The 17,341-nt window shown below is 39.6% G+C and overlaps 1 protein-coding gene across 2 annotated transcripts in view, besides 5 other annotated features; it reads left to right on the forward strand.

Annotated features, from left to right (window-relative positions):
- The window catches only part of GPC6 (glypican 6), a 1,191,492-nt gene continuing 1,175,287 nt past the window's right edge, over positions 1,137-17,341 (forward strand). Inside the window, exon 1 of one of the 2 annotated variants that reach the window (XM_047429990.1) lies at positions 1,137-11,290. Coding sequence is in view for 1 of the 2 variants with exons in the window: in NM_005708.5 (NP_005699.1) it covers positions 12,065-12,224 (160 nt within the window). In the remaining variant the exon portion in view is untranslated. Of the gene's footprint in view, positions 11,291-11,414; positions 12,225-17,341 lie in introns of those variants that run through there. The other variant, NM_005708.5, reaches the window with a different exon arrangement.
- Positions 2,462-2,974: an enhancer, noted in NCBI's record as "NANOG-H3K27ac hESC enhancer chr13:93870107-93870619 (GRCh37/hg19 assembly coordinates)". NCBI's record gives its function as "activates a minimal SCP1, AML or CMV promoter by ChIP-STARR-seq in primed H9 embryonic stem cells {active_cell/tissue: H9 hESC(primed)}" and the evidence as "EXISTENCE:reporter gene assay evidence [ECO:0000049][PMID:30033119]".
- Positions 8,499-8,684: a silencer, noted in NCBI's record as "fragment chr13:93876144-93876329 (GRCh37/hg19 assembly coordinates)". NCBI's record gives its function as "represses an EF-1alpha promoter that drives an FKBP-Casp9 reporter gene in an ReSE screen in HepG2 liver carcinoma cells {active_cell/tissue: HepG2}" and the evidence as "EXISTENCE:reporter gene assay evidence [ECO:0000049][PMID:32094911]".
- Positions 8,651-9,601: an enhancer, noted in NCBI's record as "OCT4-NANOG-H3K27ac-H3K4me1 hESC enhancer chr13:93876296-93877246 (GRCh37/hg19 assembly coordinates)". NCBI's record gives its function as "activates a minimal SCP1, AML or CMV promoter by ChIP-STARR-seq in naive H9 embryonic stem cells {active_cell/tissue: H9 hESC(naive)}" and the evidence as "EXISTENCE:reporter gene assay evidence [ECO:0000049][PMID:30033119]".
- Positions 12,008-12,850: an enhancer, noted in NCBI's record as "H3K27ac hESC enhancer chr13:93879653-93880495 (GRCh37/hg19 assembly coordinates)". NCBI's record gives its function as "activates a minimal SCP1, AML or CMV promoter by ChIP-STARR-seq in naive H9 embryonic stem cells {active_cell/tissue: H9 hESC(naive)}" and the evidence as "EXISTENCE:reporter gene assay evidence [ECO:0000049][PMID:30033119]".
- Positions 12,904-13,198: a silencer, noted in NCBI's record as "tiled region #9831; K562 Repressive non-DNase unmatched - State 25:Art". NCBI's record gives its function as "represses a minimal TATA promoter and a strong SV40 promoter by Sharpr-MPRA in K562 cells {active_cell/tissue: K562}" and the evidence as "EXISTENCE:reporter gene assay evidence [ECO:0000049][PMID:27701403]".

Raw genomic sequence — 17,341 nt, forward strand, 5'->3', positions numbered from 1 at the left:
CAGTGGCACAATCTCAGCCCACTGCAACTTCCGCCTCCTGGATTCAAGCAATTCTCTGCCTCAGCCTCTCGAGTAGCTGGCTAATTTTTTTGTATTTTTGGTAGACACGGGGTTTCACTATCTTGGCCAGGCTGATCTTGAACTCCTGACCACCTGCCTCGGCCTCCCAAATTGCTGGGATTAAAGGCACCCCCCACCACGCCTGGCGAATTTTTTTGTATTCTTAGTAGAGATGGGGTTTCACCATCTTGGCCAGGATGATCTTGAACTCCTGACCTCATGATCCACCCGCTTCAGCCTCCAAAGTGCTGGGATTACAGGCATGAGCCACTGCGCCCAGCCGTGTGCTTATACTTTTATAAATATAAGCTGTTATTTCCTTCAAAATCATTGTCCACATACCACTTTTGTAGTATATATGTATATTTTTAAAATCTCACAAATTTACTATTACTTTTTGTCTTCTAGCATGTTTTTGTTGTCCTGACAACTGCTATCCACTTAGTCAGTGTATGGGTTGTCAGCTGAGATAACAAACAAATCAATTCTCATCTTTTAAATTTCTAAGTATTCTCTTAAACTTAATGCAGAGATGGCAGTCTTAGCAGCCACGGCTTTTGATTTGTAAGAGCTAGAAGCATTCAGAAAGAGGAAAGTTTCTTTTGAGCTCCAAGAGGTCTAAGATCTGAAGGAAGCAAGATCTGTTGTATAGGCCATAAGCAATAGATTAGAGAGAATGCAAAATACATGCAGCAAGAGCCATTTCCTTGTCCCATCCTAGCTAAAAATGCTGAGAGGAGTGGGAGAGACAATACTGAAGGAAGCAAGTAGCTGACAGAGTTTCCCCTGTGTCCTGTCTATAGGCTGAACCATAATGGGATTAGGGCTTCTACTGGGTAAAGATGTGTATTCTGACTTTCCCATCTGGAGACATTCCTAGTCTGTAGCCTCTCTGATATACTTTGTATTACAATGACATGGGAGCTTTGAAACAGAAGGAATGCAGGGGCAAAGTGAGGGACATGCAGAGAGGTGCAGGAGGCAACCCAGCCTTCCCATGCAATCAACAAAAGGGCAGAGGTAAGTTGAGATGGAGAGAAAAAAAAAAAAAGAAAAAAACACGCTACTGGAAGTTCACACACACTCTTGTGTGTGCAGGAAGTCTAGGTCAACAGAGGGGTAGTGCAACCTAGGATACAGTGTAGACTAGACAGCCAGGGACTGGACAAAAATCCACTTCTCAGAGAATGCCAGTCTAGAACATAGCAATGACCAAGAATTAGATGATTGATGTGTTTTCACCAATGTCTGGCTGTCTCATCATATCCTCATGGGAAAAAAGAACTCTCTCTGGGAAGGCAGGTATGTCTGAAAAAATTCTTATGTGACTAAATCTACCTGGAATTGGCAAGACAAAATTTTCTCCTACTGAGTAGAAGAGAGATCTGAAATAGAACTCAAATTCTGTTACAGGAAAATAAAGGAGGTTCCATTTCTTATACCTGAGTTTGTGGCCTGTGAAAATGCATGACCATTGTACAAATATAAAATTTTCCATCTGAGCTGCTACCAATTGCAATACATAATAGTTTTGCATGATGGTTAAGTAATCCTTTAAGTAAATTTGAAGAACATGCTTTGCCCGCAAAAATGGAAAAAAAAAATCTAGAAATCTTCTTGCCAAAGTCCAAAGACTTCTAATGAATATTTCAATTCAATGTTGTGAGGCCCTATATTTTTGTTGAATGGTGAAGTACGTGTGATTCATTAAGCTCTCATTCATTATGAAAATAGACTAGCAAATTATATCCTTTGTAAGTAAAATCATTATGAACATAATTTACAAAATAGTTTAAGTTCTTTCATGATCTTTCTAAAGGAAAAGCCAAATAGTTTTAAACACTTTGCAAGGGCATTATCATTTAAAAATCTTAGATCTTACTTCTCGTTAGTTATTTTTTGAAATATTTCTTGGGCAAATATCTAAATTTGGTTGTAATTTGCACAGTCTAAAGTATTTTTTATGTGTGCCCCAGAGAATCATGATCACTATGTTTTCGAGTGTAAAAGTAAAAATGAAATTCTGGTTTCTTACTGTATTCAAATGTTCTTTTCTTTTCCTCTCAAATTTGTGTAAGCCTATCTTGCCCCTTAGAGACTGTAACATGATCCTTCATCTCTTCAATTTTTGTATTAAATCATTATTTTTGAACTTGCAAAAGCAACATATAAGTCAGGCAGCAAGTTACAAGTTTAAAATAAGCTGGCTTAACCCTCCATGGGGTTTGAAAATCAGTTATCTACTTAAATTAAGGTAGAAGTCAGAGCTGATTTAGTGTCCTTCTATGCTATGCACACTCACAATACTGTTCATTACCACGAACATGCCGGTACATGTTTGTTTCCCAGGAAAAATAGAGCCCTATTCATTATTCATAGAGGTCCTCCTGTACAGTAAAGACATTCATTCTCTAATGGCTCTATGACTAGGGTGTTGTGAAGCCCAAAGATGTTTTTTTTGGAAGACAGTTTACCAATTAAAAGCAAACAGCATTGGATTGCTTAGTAATGTCCTCAACATTGATTGGCTGTGATTGCAAATGAACATCAGGAGAAATCCAAAGGCACATCGCCGCCTGTTTCTATGCTTGCTTGCTTGCTTCAGACACCTCCCTGGAAACAGATCATTAGTACATGGAACTTCCAACCGGCTAGCTCAGACTTTTTTTTTTTTTTGCTTCAAGTAACTTAAAAAATATGCACCAGATTTGCTTTCTCACAAACATTTAATTATTTCCCCCTGAAATGTAATAAAATGTGCGAAGTTAATATAGAAGCAAGTTTTAAAAATGATTGCCTGGAAGTGAGTTCAGATTGTGAAGGCAAATAGACCATATTCTTCAAGTAAAAAACAATGATGTGTTATATGAAGCTAAATACAATAGAATTCTCTGTGGCTGATAAAGAACATAGGATGTCAGCCTTACATGTTTGATGTAAATTCAGCAAAATTAAGCTTAGATTTTGACTTACCAGTAAACAATAGAGATCAAGATCAGTGCTATTTTCCTATCCATAGGTCTAAAAATTATTAATAGTTGATATTTATTATGCAGGCTGTAAACCCAGAATGTGACACAGTTGGGCTTAATGTAGTCACACAATGGTTAGGAAACTTTCCTCAATGTGGAAGATGGAAGTATGTTTGTGATCATTTTAAGGAATCTAAACTAAAACAAAATCACTTATGCATAAAAATCTTAATTGAAAATGTTGGCATTGACAAAGAATATGCCACAGGTTTGTCTGGCCATATGGCAGAGTTGTTTTCCTGACTTAGTAGAAAGCAGATTTTATTGCTTAGTTCTTGTACTTATTCATACTGATGACTAAGTTGAAGAAACAAATTTTCTTTGTCTTTCTGATGTCCACGTATATTCACTCCAATCATGAAGGGGAATGGTTGGAGTTTGAGAACCTACGTAAATAAGAATGGAATATTTTCTTTTAAATGGCCTAATAGATGACATTCATTATAAAAGAATCAGACATTATAAAAGAATCAGCCTGGTTGTTGGTATGTTACCGGACTGATGTTGTTGACTTGGTTCCATTAAGATTTTTGAGTTTTTCTTTGTAGAATGGTATATTAATATCATCAACCTGGCTGTTTTCTCCTACCCTGTCTTTCTTTCCTATTTTTTTTTTTTTTTCTTTTTTAGACAGAGTCTCACTCTGTCACCCAGGCTGGAGTGCAGTGGTATGATCTCAGCTCACTGCAACCTCTGCCTACAGAGTTCAAGCAATTCTCCTGCCTTAGCCTCCCGAGTAGCTGGGACTACAAACTCATACCACCACGCCCAGCTAATTTTTGTATTTTTAGTAGAGATGGGGTTTCACCATGTTGGCCAGGCTGGTCTTGAACTCCTGATCTCATGATCCACCCGCCTTGGCCTCCCAAAGTGTTGGGATTACAGGCGTGAGCCACCATGCCAGGCCCTCTCCTACCCTTTCTTATGACCAAACAATAGTCATTTTTATGGCTTCTAACTGGGATGTATGTGACTATAGCCAATGAATAGAGAAAAGCTAACTGAAATGATACTGCCTTATGGTATAACAAGAAAACAAATAAATTTTATTGACTTCCATATACCACTAGATTAAGCAGACAATCCATTCAAAATTTTCACTCTAATTTTTTTTGCTAGTATCTATGGTAATTTACAATAATATTGAATGAATTTAATTATTGTATTTTGAAGTTATTAGAAAACTTCTCAAATTAAAAGCTTTGAGTATGCTATTTAATTTTAGAATATTCAGATTGGTTTCAATTATTAAAAGTAATGTCATATCAATATATCATCATAGATAGCAAGGTTTAGTGATATTAGTATCTTAAAATTTCTTGTTTTTTTTCTAATCAAACAAGTCAAACAATTTTGTAATTTGTTTATCTAATTAATTTTTTGTTTTCATCTTCTTATGTTAGTTTATATTAAAATTTTTAAAAAGCTTCATCAAAAAATTATATCTTTCTGCTCCTTCTGAGCAAGTGCCTTCTAAGCTGATGTTGCATAGAAAACAGTTACAAGAGCAGAGGCCTGCAGGTAGTAGGAAATAAAAACAATATTTTATGGGTTTTCCCGTAAAATATTCCCATAAAATTTTATCAGTGTTTTCCAAAAACTAAGTCTGTCATACTGCCTATTTAAGGTCAAAATAATTAATGATAGATAATTAACTCAGGGCCTTTAAATCTGTGAAACCATTTTAATAAAGAGTAAATGTTCCATTGACGAAAGTTAGCATCATGTGAAGAGCTATTCCCTACCGAATAAGCCTGTGTTGTTATCCACTTGCCTTAAGGAATGCCATTGTTTATGATGCCAGATGATCCAAAAACTATGCAAAGCTTCATTCATCCTTCACAAAAGCCAAACAACCAGAATAATGACTGGCAAGAAGCATGGTTTTAATAATCCAGGTATGTCAAATTTACTGCTTAGCTACAGAATCATCTCTCATAACATTAATATCTGAATTTATAACAAGTAAGACAAAGTTAGACGATCTTTTATTAACTACAAAAATGCAAGTTTATTCATTTGTGATAGGTTTTTCACCTTTGTCACTCTTACATTTACATATCTGATTTGGAAACACTTCAAAAATGTGTGAGCTTCAAATAATGGCATTGTCAAACGCATCTATTAATATTGTGAGCCTTCAAGTCAAAATGAAACTCTTCCTGCTATGCAATACACTTTCCTAATGATGTTATGAAATGATGCTTAGCCAGTAGTACATTTGTCAAGATTGTTCCTAGGCATAGTCTTAACAGCAATTTTTGAAAGTAAATATTTGGTTACTCAATATTTAAATATATTTAATACCTAAGATGTAGTTCTAGGCATGAAAATCACTTAGAATCAATGAAGAGTAGACTCCTGGGTCATTAATATATATGAAAATTTAAAAATAGTATTTTATTTAATTTTAGTTTTTGTGATGGGCTCTTACTGTCACCCAGGCTGGAATGCAGTGCACTGTCACCACTCACTGCACCCTTGACCTCCCAGGCTCTGGTGATCCTCCCACCTCAGCTTCCCAAGTAGCTGGGATTATAGGTGCACCCCACCACACCCAGCTAATTTTTGTGTATTTTGTAGAAATAGGATTTCGATATGTTGCCCAGGCTGGTCTCAAACTCCTGGCCTCAAGTACTGGGATTATAGGTGTGAGCCACTGCACCTGGCCTGAAAATAGTATTTTAAATCATTGTGATATCTTAATACATTTTCTATTCTGTGTCCTTGACTATTGATAGTAGTATTTTAGGTAACGATGAGTAAATCTTAAGATTATATGGAATATTTTTATTGTCTAAGTTTCTGACATATATGAAGACTAAACATAATTAAATAATTAGAGTCCTTTCAATTCTCTTGGATAAACCCTGTCATAACTTTTAGGAGAAAATCTGATTAAGTAGATCACATGATTCCCTTCCTTGAAGCCAAACAGTTCTGGCTTCAGAGTCTTAGAAGAATATTGCAAGACAAGAAGAATCTGCTGCCCCATGGTGTTTGGTTTTCCCCCCAAGAGATCATTAGTAACCCAGTTTGTTCTCAGCTGCCCTAAAGATATAATTTTAATTGGTTTATATTAGCACTAGGTATATGTTTAAGGCTCAATAAATGTTAAATGAACTATTAGTATTTCATTGGATATAAACCATAAGATGGAAATGAAAGATTTTCACCATTTCTGGTCATTATTCACCCAGGTTTACCTTTTCTTTCTCTGTAACTCAGCAACCTTCCCATTATCCAGGCACCTGGCAGAGCTACTGTTGTTAAATTTCTGACAGCTTTTTCATTACAGGCCCTGTTTTTCAAGAGGCAGGTTAACTAAGCGATTTTGATTTGTGCCAAGCTGAGATGTGGAATAGACACTTGAAGTCCATTCTCCTGTTTTCCTAAGATTTTATTTGAAGTTATTTGTCCTACTTTGATCTAAAAAATACTAAGAAAAAACTAAAATTCACCTATTATTTTCATTCATGATTTTTATAACTGAGCAAAAGGATGATAAATTCTGCTGTAGCTCTGCTTTTTATTTTTTTTATAAACCCAAGGCTTTTAAAAAATTAACACAAGACATTTCATACTTCAGAGTTATTATTTGATTCAGAAACATATTAACAGCCAATTGTTTTACTTACATGAGATAGGGTAAGACCTTTTTATTTTGTAAAACATGAACCAAATGCTATAATTTGTATTTATGTTAAACGTGTGACATATTCATGTCAAAACAATATTTTTTGTCTCATAACCAAGGACTCATCTTTACTGTAGAAAACATGAAAAATGCAGATAAGAGAAAAAAAATTTAAAATCAACCAACCCAGTAAGATCATATTGGATTTCATTCTCTTTTTATGTCCACTCATTCTTCCCTGAAGTTTTAGAAACTTCTGGAAAGCATTCCTGACTACCTCTCTGCCCCTTCCACATACAGTTACCACATTCTAATCAGTTTTACCTGGTATTTCCATATTCTTTCCACCTACTTCACACACGATTCCATGTGGTTTAGCATCCACCCAGTTTACTATACTAAAATGTTTCTCTCAAAATTTCCAGTAAGCTTCCTTATCATTGTCCAAGTACCATTATCTCCATCTCTTTCTTGTCCACTGCAATTTGTTTTATGTTTGAAAATCTCCTCACCTGGGTTCCACGATGCTACCTAATGTTTTTGTTCTCTTCTTACCTTTGCAACTATTCACTGTCTCTTGCCTTTAAATTTTCTTATTATTCATTGAGTTTGGTGTATAGGTTAAGTTGCTTTTACTTGTAAACAGTAGAATAACCAACTAACAATGGTGTAAACAACAGGATATTTATTGATTATTTAACAAGAAGTCCAGAAGTTGGAAGTCCTAAGGCTGGTTTGGTGACTCAAATAGGAACTCAAGGTTCTTTGCATCCCTCCATTGTCATTGTCTGTCTTCTAGCAATGTCTTGTCTCTTACGCAAAAGATGGCTGTGTAGCTCTAAGAAGGCAGGAGGCTGAGGCAAAATGGCCCTTCTGCTCCTTTAATCAGGGAAAACACTTTTTTTTTTTTTTTTTTTTTCAGAAATCTCCATAAATCACATTGGCTAGAAATGGGTCTTACACCCACCCCTACACCAGGGAAAAGTGCTAATTGTGATTCATCCCTTGGTGGTGAGCACAATGCCCCCTGACATAATCAGTCTTAGAGAAGCAAAAAAGAAAGGGCGATGGCTGTGGGATATGTGACTGACAGGGGCTGCACGACTCGTCTGTCACCTATGGCTGCTCTTCAAGACTGTGTCTATTTTTCTCTACAACTGAAAGTCTCTGAGGTTCCATTCATGTGATGCCCAAAACGGGTTGTTGTGAAAACCAGCTGGGATGTGAAAGTACTGTATAAACAGGAGTTGTATTGTCTTTTATTAAACGTACCATATTTTCCTAATGAGATGCAATCTTTTTTTTGTCTTGTTTTTGTTGTTGTTTGTTTTGTTTTTTTTGAGACAGAGTCTCACTCTTTCTCCCAGGCTGGAGTGCAGTGGCGTGATCTCTGCTCACTGTTACCTCCACCTCCAGAGTTCAAAGGATTCTCCTGCTTTAGCCTCCCAAGTAGCTGGGACTGCAGGCACATACCATCACACCAGCGAATTTTTTGTATTTTTAGTAGAGAAGGGGTTTCGCCATGTTGGCTAGCCTGGTCTCTAACTCCGAAGCTCAGGCAAGCCACTCTCCTTAGCGTCCCAAAGTGGTAGGATTACAGGCGTGAGCCACCACACCCAGCAGAGACACAATCTTAAAATAAATATTTAGTAATTCTTCTTGTGTATTGAACCAAGCACCAACTCCTGCCAATCCTTTCCTCAGAATCTATCTACATCTTTCCATTTTCCATCGTCCTATTCTAGGTATCCGTTTACCTCATGCTATTTGTTTGCTTTTTTTTTTTTTTTTTTTTTGAGACGGAGTCTCCCTCTGTCACCCAGGCTGGGGTGCAGTGGCGGGATCTCGGCTCACTGCAAGCTCCGCCTCCCGGGTTCTCGCCATTCTCCTGCCTCAGCCTCCTGAGTAGCTGGGACTGCAGTGCCGGCCACCACACCCGTCTAATTTTTTGTATTTTTAGTAGAGACGGGGTTTCACCGTGTTAGCCAGGATAGTCTCGATCTCCTGACCTCGTGATCTGCCCGCCTCGGCCTCCCAAAGTGCTGGGATTACAGGCGTGAGCCACCGCGCCCGGCCTTTTTTTTTTTTTTGAGACGGAGTTTCTTTCTTGTTGCCCAGTCTGGAGTGCAATGGCACGATCTCGCCTCACCGCAACCTCTGCCTCCCAGGTTCAAGTGATTCTCCTGCCTCAACCTCCCGAGGAGCTGAGATTACAGGCACGTGCCAGCACGCCCAGCTAATTTTGTATCTTCAGTAGAGACGGGGTTTCTCCATGTTGGTCAAGCTCGTCTCAAACTCCCGACCTCAGGTGATCTGCCTGCCTCGGCCTTCCAAAGTGCTGGGATTATAGGCATGAGCCACCGTGCCTGGCCTCGTTTGCTTCCTCTTGTATGGCATTTATCCATATTCTTTTTTCCTACTACACACAAGATGAATACTACAGCTAGGATTCCAGCCATTAGCTGACCTTTTTGTCTAAACCAGATGCCTGCTCCTCCATATGACCTCTCTCCTGTCTGGTCAGGCCTCTTCCAGGAACTTCCATAACATTCCATTCTCATTCCAATCCCTTGTCTAGGCTCCTGCTGTGGCTCTCAGTGTTAACTGGAATGTTTGACTTTGTCTCTTACACCACTGCAAACAGTGTGACATTACTCAACAAATGGACCAGGCAGGGTTAAGGTCACCAGTAAAGCAAGTTATCTAATTCTTTGGTCTGACTTGAGTTCACAAACCTACCCTAAACTATTTGACTCTCCTGATGGAATTAAACTAATCTATTTAGTCATTCGTCTCATGTAATATCTTTGCCACAAATCCTAAGATCATTTTATAAGTATAGGGACGGTGTGCAATAGTCTAGTGCTATAAAGTTGTATTGAGTGCTCATTCAATACTTAACAATTAGCTGATCTTCAAATAATTTAAAACCACATATACTATGCTTTTACCCATTCTTCCTTTACCTCCATTTAAAATAATGAATTATCTGCTATACTGAGTCAGGGTAAATTACAATGAGTCCCAGGATAAGGTGGTAGGACAGGAAGTGTGTGTTTTTACCCTCTTCCTCTGGAGTGCATAATGCTTTACTATGATACAAAGAGAAGTTTGAAGGAAGTCACGTTGTCAAATATGACAGAAGTAATAACTTGACTGCAATTCCTGAGCCTATCAACCTCACCGTTTGTCCACAAACATAACCAGAATATATTTTATCTTGATTTCCGACTTGAGGGAAAATAAGTTCAGTGATTTAAGATCTGCCAGTTAGCATAAATATTGTGAAAGCAAAAAACTGTGCTAAAATTTTAAGAGAAAAAAAGTTAAGTGTGTTGCGTTTTCAGAAAGATTTAGCTATGGAGTTTTTTTTTTTGTTTTGTTTTGTTTTTTTTTTTTTTGGTTTTGTTTTGTCTTGACCTATGAGTTTGAAGAAGACAAAGTGGCTCTGTAAATAAGTCGACTTCATTTTTAAAGCGTTTGGAAAGGTTAAATGAGGTTGAATCTTGAGAGTCTTTTTGGTGGTTAGGAGAGGGGGAATTTATTAAAGAGAGGAAGACAATGTACCTAATATGTTGTGATGATAATGACAAACTCAAAGATTTAAACTTCATGAGTCATTCTGGTCATTCATATCATCATCAGGAAAACATCTTCATGTGTAGCTTCATAGGTGAGCTCCACAAAACTGTGCATTACCTTGTAGTAGTTTGTGAATAATGTGCTGACCTATGACACATAGCCACGTAAGTGAATAAACACTATTATTATTATTATTTTGTCTTGGTTTTCATTAAACTATCTTAGTAGTTTCAGGAGCTCTGGGTTTCAACACACACTTCTGCCAGCTGACTTTAGTGCGTCCATTAGCATAACAAAGTCAATTAGGCAAACCTGAATTTTCACTTTTATCCCGTTCACAGAACATCAGTGTAAATGGAGACAGGAAGAAGAAATTGGATTGATTCTCCACTTGAGAATTATGTTAACTTGGAAGAAAATGTTAAGTCTACTATGTGAGGGCATCTAGTGAGAGGGAAGGAATCACCTCCCTTCCCCCATTATGTCCCTTTATGCACCTCTGACCCTTGTGCTCTCCTTTTCTTGTTGCTTCTGTGGTCTGGTTGTTAGCTTTCCCGATCCTCCACACATTAGAAACCTAAGCATAATGATTTCTGATCGAAGGCTATGAGATATTTGAAATAAAAAAAGGGGAAATTGTTGAGTCTAGAACCAAACCTTTAAAAATTAAGAACTACCAGTCTGTAATGTGTGCCTTTAGAAAAAAACAAAGTCAAACAGAAATTAGGCAACTAGTTAGAGCCGTGATTGTGCTCTGCCACCCATGAACTCCCGTCTATGACTATTTCCACTCTGGCTTTGTGTTTCAGTAGGTCAGGGACACATATTAAGAGCAACAATTGGAACTGCGTTATCCTTTACCTCCATAAAAATACAGCTTAATAACATGTTAATGACTTAAAATTACCTTGTCTTTCTAGATTGTTTATTGATGTCATTTCAGATCGGTATAAAGGATGTGAAGTGAATAAGAAAATAGGTACGTTTCTTTTTCTTTTTTTCCCCTTTCTACCGACTAGGAAGAGATCCAGTCCAGGTTTTGCCTTTGACTCGGCCTGTGAATTTCGGCTGTGCAATGTGTAGCACGTTTCTTTCTCCCCCCTCCTTTCTCCTTCCCTCTTGCCTCCAGTGACTGTCTCCAGGATTTCTCTCTTCCTATTTCAGGAGGACTCTCACAGGCTCCCACAGCCTGTGTTAAGCTGAGGTTTCCCCTAGATCTCGTATATCCCCAACACATACCTCCACGCACACACATCCCCAAGAACCTCGAGCTCACACCAACAGACACACGCGCGCATACACACTCGCTCTCGCTTGTCCATCTCCCTCCCGGGGGAGCCGGCGCGCGCTCCCACCTTTGCCGCACACTCCGGCGAGCCGAGCCCGCAGCGCTCCAGGATTCTGCGGCTCGGAACTCGGATTGCAGCTCTGAACCCCCATGGTGGTTTTTTAAACACTTCTTTTCCTTCTCTTCCTCGTTTTGATTGCACCGTTTCCATCTGGGGGCTAGAGGAGCAAGGCAGCAGCCTTCCCAGCCAGCCCTTGTTGGCTTGCCATCGTCCATCTGGCTTATAAAAGTTTGCTGAGCGCAGTCCAGAGGGCTGCGCTGCTCGTCCCCTCGGCTGGCAGAAGGGGGTGACGCTGGGCAGCGGCGAGGAGCGCGCCGCTGCCTCTGGCGGGCTTTCGGCTTGAGGGGCAAGGTGAAGAGCGCACCGGCCGTGGGGTTTACCGAGCTGGATTTGTATGTTGCACCATGCCTTCTTGGATCGGGGCTGTGATTCTTCCCCTCTTGGGGCTGCTGCTCTCCCTCCCCGCCGGGGCGGATGTGAAGGCTCGGAGCTGCGGAGAGGTCCGCCAGGCGTACGGTGCCAAGGGATTCAGCCTGGCGGACATCCCCTACCAGGAGATCGCAGGTAAGCGCGGGCGCGCTGCAGGGGCAGGCTGCAGCCCTCGGCTGCCGCACGTCCCACTGGCCGCCCGGCGTCCCCTTCCTTCCCCCTGTTGCTGAGTTGGTGCTCACTTTCTGCCACCGCTATGGGACTCCGCGTCTCCGTGTTGGGCGGCGGATGCTCCTGCGGCTTCTTCGGCGGGGGAAGGTGTGCGTCTCCGCCGCCTCATTGTGTGCACACGCGGGAGCACCCTGGCTCCCGCCTCCCGCTGCTCTCGCGCCCTTCTACCCCTTAGTTGATGGCTCAGGCCCGGCTGGCCAGGGAGCCCGGGTCACTCCGGGGCGGCTGCAAGGCGCAGACGGAGAGCCGAGCCGGGCGCTCACTCCGCGTTCTGGTTCGGGCAAACTTGGAAGAACTGCGACCGCAGTTTGCCCAGCGCCACAGTCTGAGTGGCGCCTTCTCCACTCCCGCCCTTGCGCCGGCAGGGGCGGTGGAGAGACGCGGAGGGCTCCCCCAGCCCCTCTCTCCCCTATCCGTCCTTCGGGCGACAGAGCGCCCGGCGCTCGGGCCGGGGGCGGGCAAGGCTGGGAGGGACCCTCGCCGGGGACCTGGCCTCTGGACGCCGGCGTTTCAAGGCTGGTTTGGGGACTTCACGGGCTGCCTGTTTCAGATGTGGGGCGGGCTTTCCCGTTAGGGTTCCTCAGTGCTTCCCCAGTTGCTGTTGGCCACTCAGGGCCCGGGGACACCCTGCCACCCGGTCTGGAGCCGGCCTCGTCTGCCAGCGAACAGCCAACTTTAGCGGGTGGCTCAGCTGGGGATTCGGGTCCGGGTTCGGGGGCCCCGTGTCCCCCGCATGCCCGGCCACTGGCATTGCTCCACCAAGAGCTTGAGAGCGCCCACCCTTTCTCTCGGCGCCAGTGTGTGTAGCACTTGGTCTCCGACAACTTGCGCGGCAGTCTGGGTGCTTGTTTTCCGGCTCTTAGCTCCAACCGAATCCGAGCTTCTCTGGGGCTCTGTGAATGAAACGTGTCGGGGAGAGATAATCCTTTGGCTGCTAAAGAACAGAACTGAGAGAGGCCGAGGGAGGCCAGGAGATGCTGCGAGGGCGCGGGCTGCTCAAACCGGGCAGCTGAAGTCCTTAGTGACCTCAGATCGTCAAGTCAAAACGCTGAATTTCCACCAGCCTCTGTCTGCTTTTTGCCAAATAACTGGTGGATGGATGAAAAGCATTTTGCAGATATCTTAGAACATCACAGTTTCGATACGTTGAGGAATTACTATTTTCTTATGATTTTCAAGCTGTAGAAGTGAGGGTTTTTACTTACACTGAAATGAACACATTTAAATAAATTTGAGCATTGGCAAAGGGGGAAAAAAAGAGGCGCAAATTACCACGCTCATTATATAGAAGGAGCTTTTTCAGTTCAGAGCCAGACATTCCCTTTGCTGAGTCTAAGTTAGAATCTGTGGTGAATTATAAGCCTACTTTTCTATCCTTGTTACTTCTTCCTTCTTTTCCAGAACTCCTTAATTTGTTAATCAATGAATAGAGAGCGACTGTCCCCACAGCTCCTTAAGTTTCTTAACTCTCCTTCTCCTTTGTCTACTGTTATTTCATTCTTTTTAATTAATTGATAAGGATCAGCTTCGCTTTTTTTTTTCCCTCCCCAAATCTCAGGGAATTCAACTTTTTAAAAGGTTTATAGTATGGATCACTTCTTCTAGGAACTTTTTCTCCTTTAATCTGGGCTTTTTCAAACGGTATCTTTTAAGCACACAAGATATTTCCCAACATGATTTCAGATAAGATGTCTCAAAGAAGAAAATAGTTAGGTATTTTTAAATTGCTTCGGTATTCTTTAGAGGATAATGGGACTCTCAGGAGACTAGAGTTCATCCTCAGCATCAGGCACATCTCTTTAATATCAAAGTGAAGATTTTCAGTGTAAAACAATTTCTGTAGTCACCATGAATGTTTGTTGAGAACATTCCCAGGGGTTCATGTAAATTCTTCGGTGGATATTTAACTAAAGAGGTTTTTGTTTTTGTTTTTGGTTTCCTCCCCACCTTTTTACAATTACAGTGTTTGCTTATTAGCTATGAATTTCTAAAATGTGTGCACTTTTTTTTTTTTAAACTCACCTACTTTCCATGAGTAAGGGCATACTGTTAACTTTGCTTTAAGCCTTGTGTCCTTTGATGCTGGTAGACATAATCAAGATGCAGGTCACCACAGGGTCAGAGGCACATTTAATAGGAAAATAATGAATTGAAAGATAATTGTGTTTTTTAAGGATATACTTGTTTTTTCAAAATCAACTTTACTTAATGCTACCTATTGCTGTTTTAATAATCACTTAGGAAATATACCCTGTTGTTACAGGAACACACTCTATCTCTCCTCCCTAGTTCTTGATACTGTTTACATTTAATTATCTAGTGTAAGTGGTTATCTTTTCTTAAACTCTTTTTTATCCTTTGCCTTGATTGGGCATCTAATGGTTTGCTTGAAGAATTTCATGTGTCTTCAATCTGCCAGGGCACATAAATTTAAAAGAATTGCTGTTCAGACTTCAGATTCATGACAGCTGTTTCTAATTGAAAGCTATTTGCAGGTAGCTTGCTTAGTGAAATAACTTGAGAAGTAATAAGGACATTATGTTTCATCATGACATTATCAAAGTTTTACTCAGAACTCACAATTGTGAAATAGTGTTGCCCTTTTCTATTCTAGGATAGAATGGAAACCCAACAGATGAGGAAGTATCACAGGTAATATATAAAGTTATGCTTTCAGAGAATGCTTGGGAAGGAGGAGGCCTTCAAGGGGCAGTTTGCACCATCAGTTTTCACTCAGCACTGATTTTAAACCATGGCAAGGAGATCAGATAGACTATTTATCCTTGTTTGAAAAACTTCCAAAGGAGTAGACTCTTGATCCCCTTTCAGCAATCCATTCTAATATTTAGCAATTCTTGTGGTATAGAAATGTTTCCAGATATCTAGCCAAAAGCCTTCACAATATGCTTGCTTATTTTTTCTTGTTCTATCCTCTGGGAAGATACTGAGCAGTGAATCATCAGGTTCTTTGTTAGGAGAGTTACTCTCATCAAAGGTCAGTGTGAAACATTCTAGTCTTTCCTCATTCATCAGAATTATGACCTAAGTTTCCAATCCTCCTCATGTTGGTGGCTCTAAACTTCTAAAGGAACTCTACCACTGAAAATAGCACCTGCTTAAAACTCTGGGAAATTCAGAGAATGTTGTTTCAGGCTTACTCTGCCACTGTTTTATGCCTTGAGTCTTGCTAGGATCATTAATTATAACACTTTGTAGTTAACAGTGACTTATTGGCCTACATGATCATGTTTTCATTACTTATGTAATGTGACATTATTTAACAATCTCTTATATAGAATTTACTATGTGCCCATCACCTACTTAAAAATTATTACCTTTATAATATCACCTTACTGAATTCTTCCAATAACTTAGTAGATACTACACATTAACCCCATTTTATAGATAAAAAGGCTGTGTGACAGGAACTTTAATAAACTTACCTAAGGGTGACTCTACTAGTAAGTAATGAGGCTGCAGTTCAAACCCAGGCACTCTGACTCCAGGGTCTATATACCTAACTTGGCTCACTGCCTTACAGTATTAAACATTCACCATTTATTTTGAATGAATGCATGCAAAATCTATTCTTTCCTCATTTCATATATATATATATACGTATATATATATATACATATATATATATACGTATATATATATATATATACATATATATATATATATGTATATATATATATATATATATATATACGTATATATATATATATAGTCTGGTATTATTAATCACTATATACATATATGTATCCCTTCCAGTTTTGCATGCTAAATACGTTTCTATTTTGTTCCAACGTCTCTAATTCTCAATATCACTTTGACTTTGGATTTTGTATTCTCAGGAATTGGCCATGCTACCACCATTAAATGGTTCATGCGTTTATGCCTTTTTCTGAACGTTTTCTGGCAAGATATAGTTACATAAAACACAGAAACTAAAGTACATGTCTTGGTTTCTTTCAGTATACTAGGCCTATTGAAATATTGGGTTAGTCCAACAAAGCTCATGCTGGAAAGTTATTCATGGGGCTAGAGGGAGTAAGAACATTTATCTCCACAGATTAGAAAAAAAAATGTAACTAGCTCTGTTTTCAGTATTTATTTTGCAACTTTTTCTGTCCCAGGTATTTTGAGAGTTGGGTTACAGCTGGATATTAAAAAAGCACTAAAGTCTTCATCTATTTGATATTAATTTATCAAGTATTTATCTAAAAATCTACAGTTTAAAAAGATTATTTGCTTGTTTCAAAATACATAATGTTTCCTTTTCACTGATCTTTGCCCAGTGGGCGTTTCCTTTCTCTGGAAACCTGTCTTTCTGTCTGCTCCCCCGGCAAACCAACTAATTTAATACATTTACAATTTACACAACTTTTTTTTTTTTTTCCAGTTTCCATGGAGATATCACATTAACTTAAATGGAAAACAGTGTTTGGTAACTCTTACTCTTTAAAGCCACAGTAAATATCGTAGTTTGAGATAAATTGTTTAATTTCTGTTTATCTGCCTGGTTCAAAGATTTCTTATTTCTTTGCCCCCTGTTTAGTTAGCTGATTTCTTTAAAAGTTTTTGGAAGGACAGTGTAAGTCACAAATGAGTGAGGTGAACTTCAATTTTTGTTTTTGTAATGATTCTACAAGTCACTAGATTTCTAAAAGAATCACATTAATTCCAGGTATCAAAGCAATCTAAAAGTTGGGCTATTAGAAGCGTCACTTGTTAAACTCTTGATTTGGGCATTAATTTTAGAGCGATTGTGAGTTATCTTAGCTGATTTAATTAGAGGATAATATGTCATCATTGGGAACAAGAGTTCATTTGAGTTGACTGATATACTTTTTTACATAAAATATCTCTCAACTGCATTGTATCTTAATAATAGCTTGTGAGTAGAAATATAGGCCACTGTCAAAATTGATTTAAAATGTACAGCATTATGTTCTTTAAGTATTATGGCATAAAGATTGTGCCATAAATTATGTAAGAAAGTGACTAGTGTTCTTTTA

Source organism: Homo sapiens, chromosome 13 (assembly GCF_000001405.40).
Source record: "Homo sapiens chromosome 13, GRCh38.p14 Primary Assembly".
NCBI lineage: Eukaryota > Metazoa > Chordata > Mammalia > Primates > Hominidae > Homo > Homo sapiens.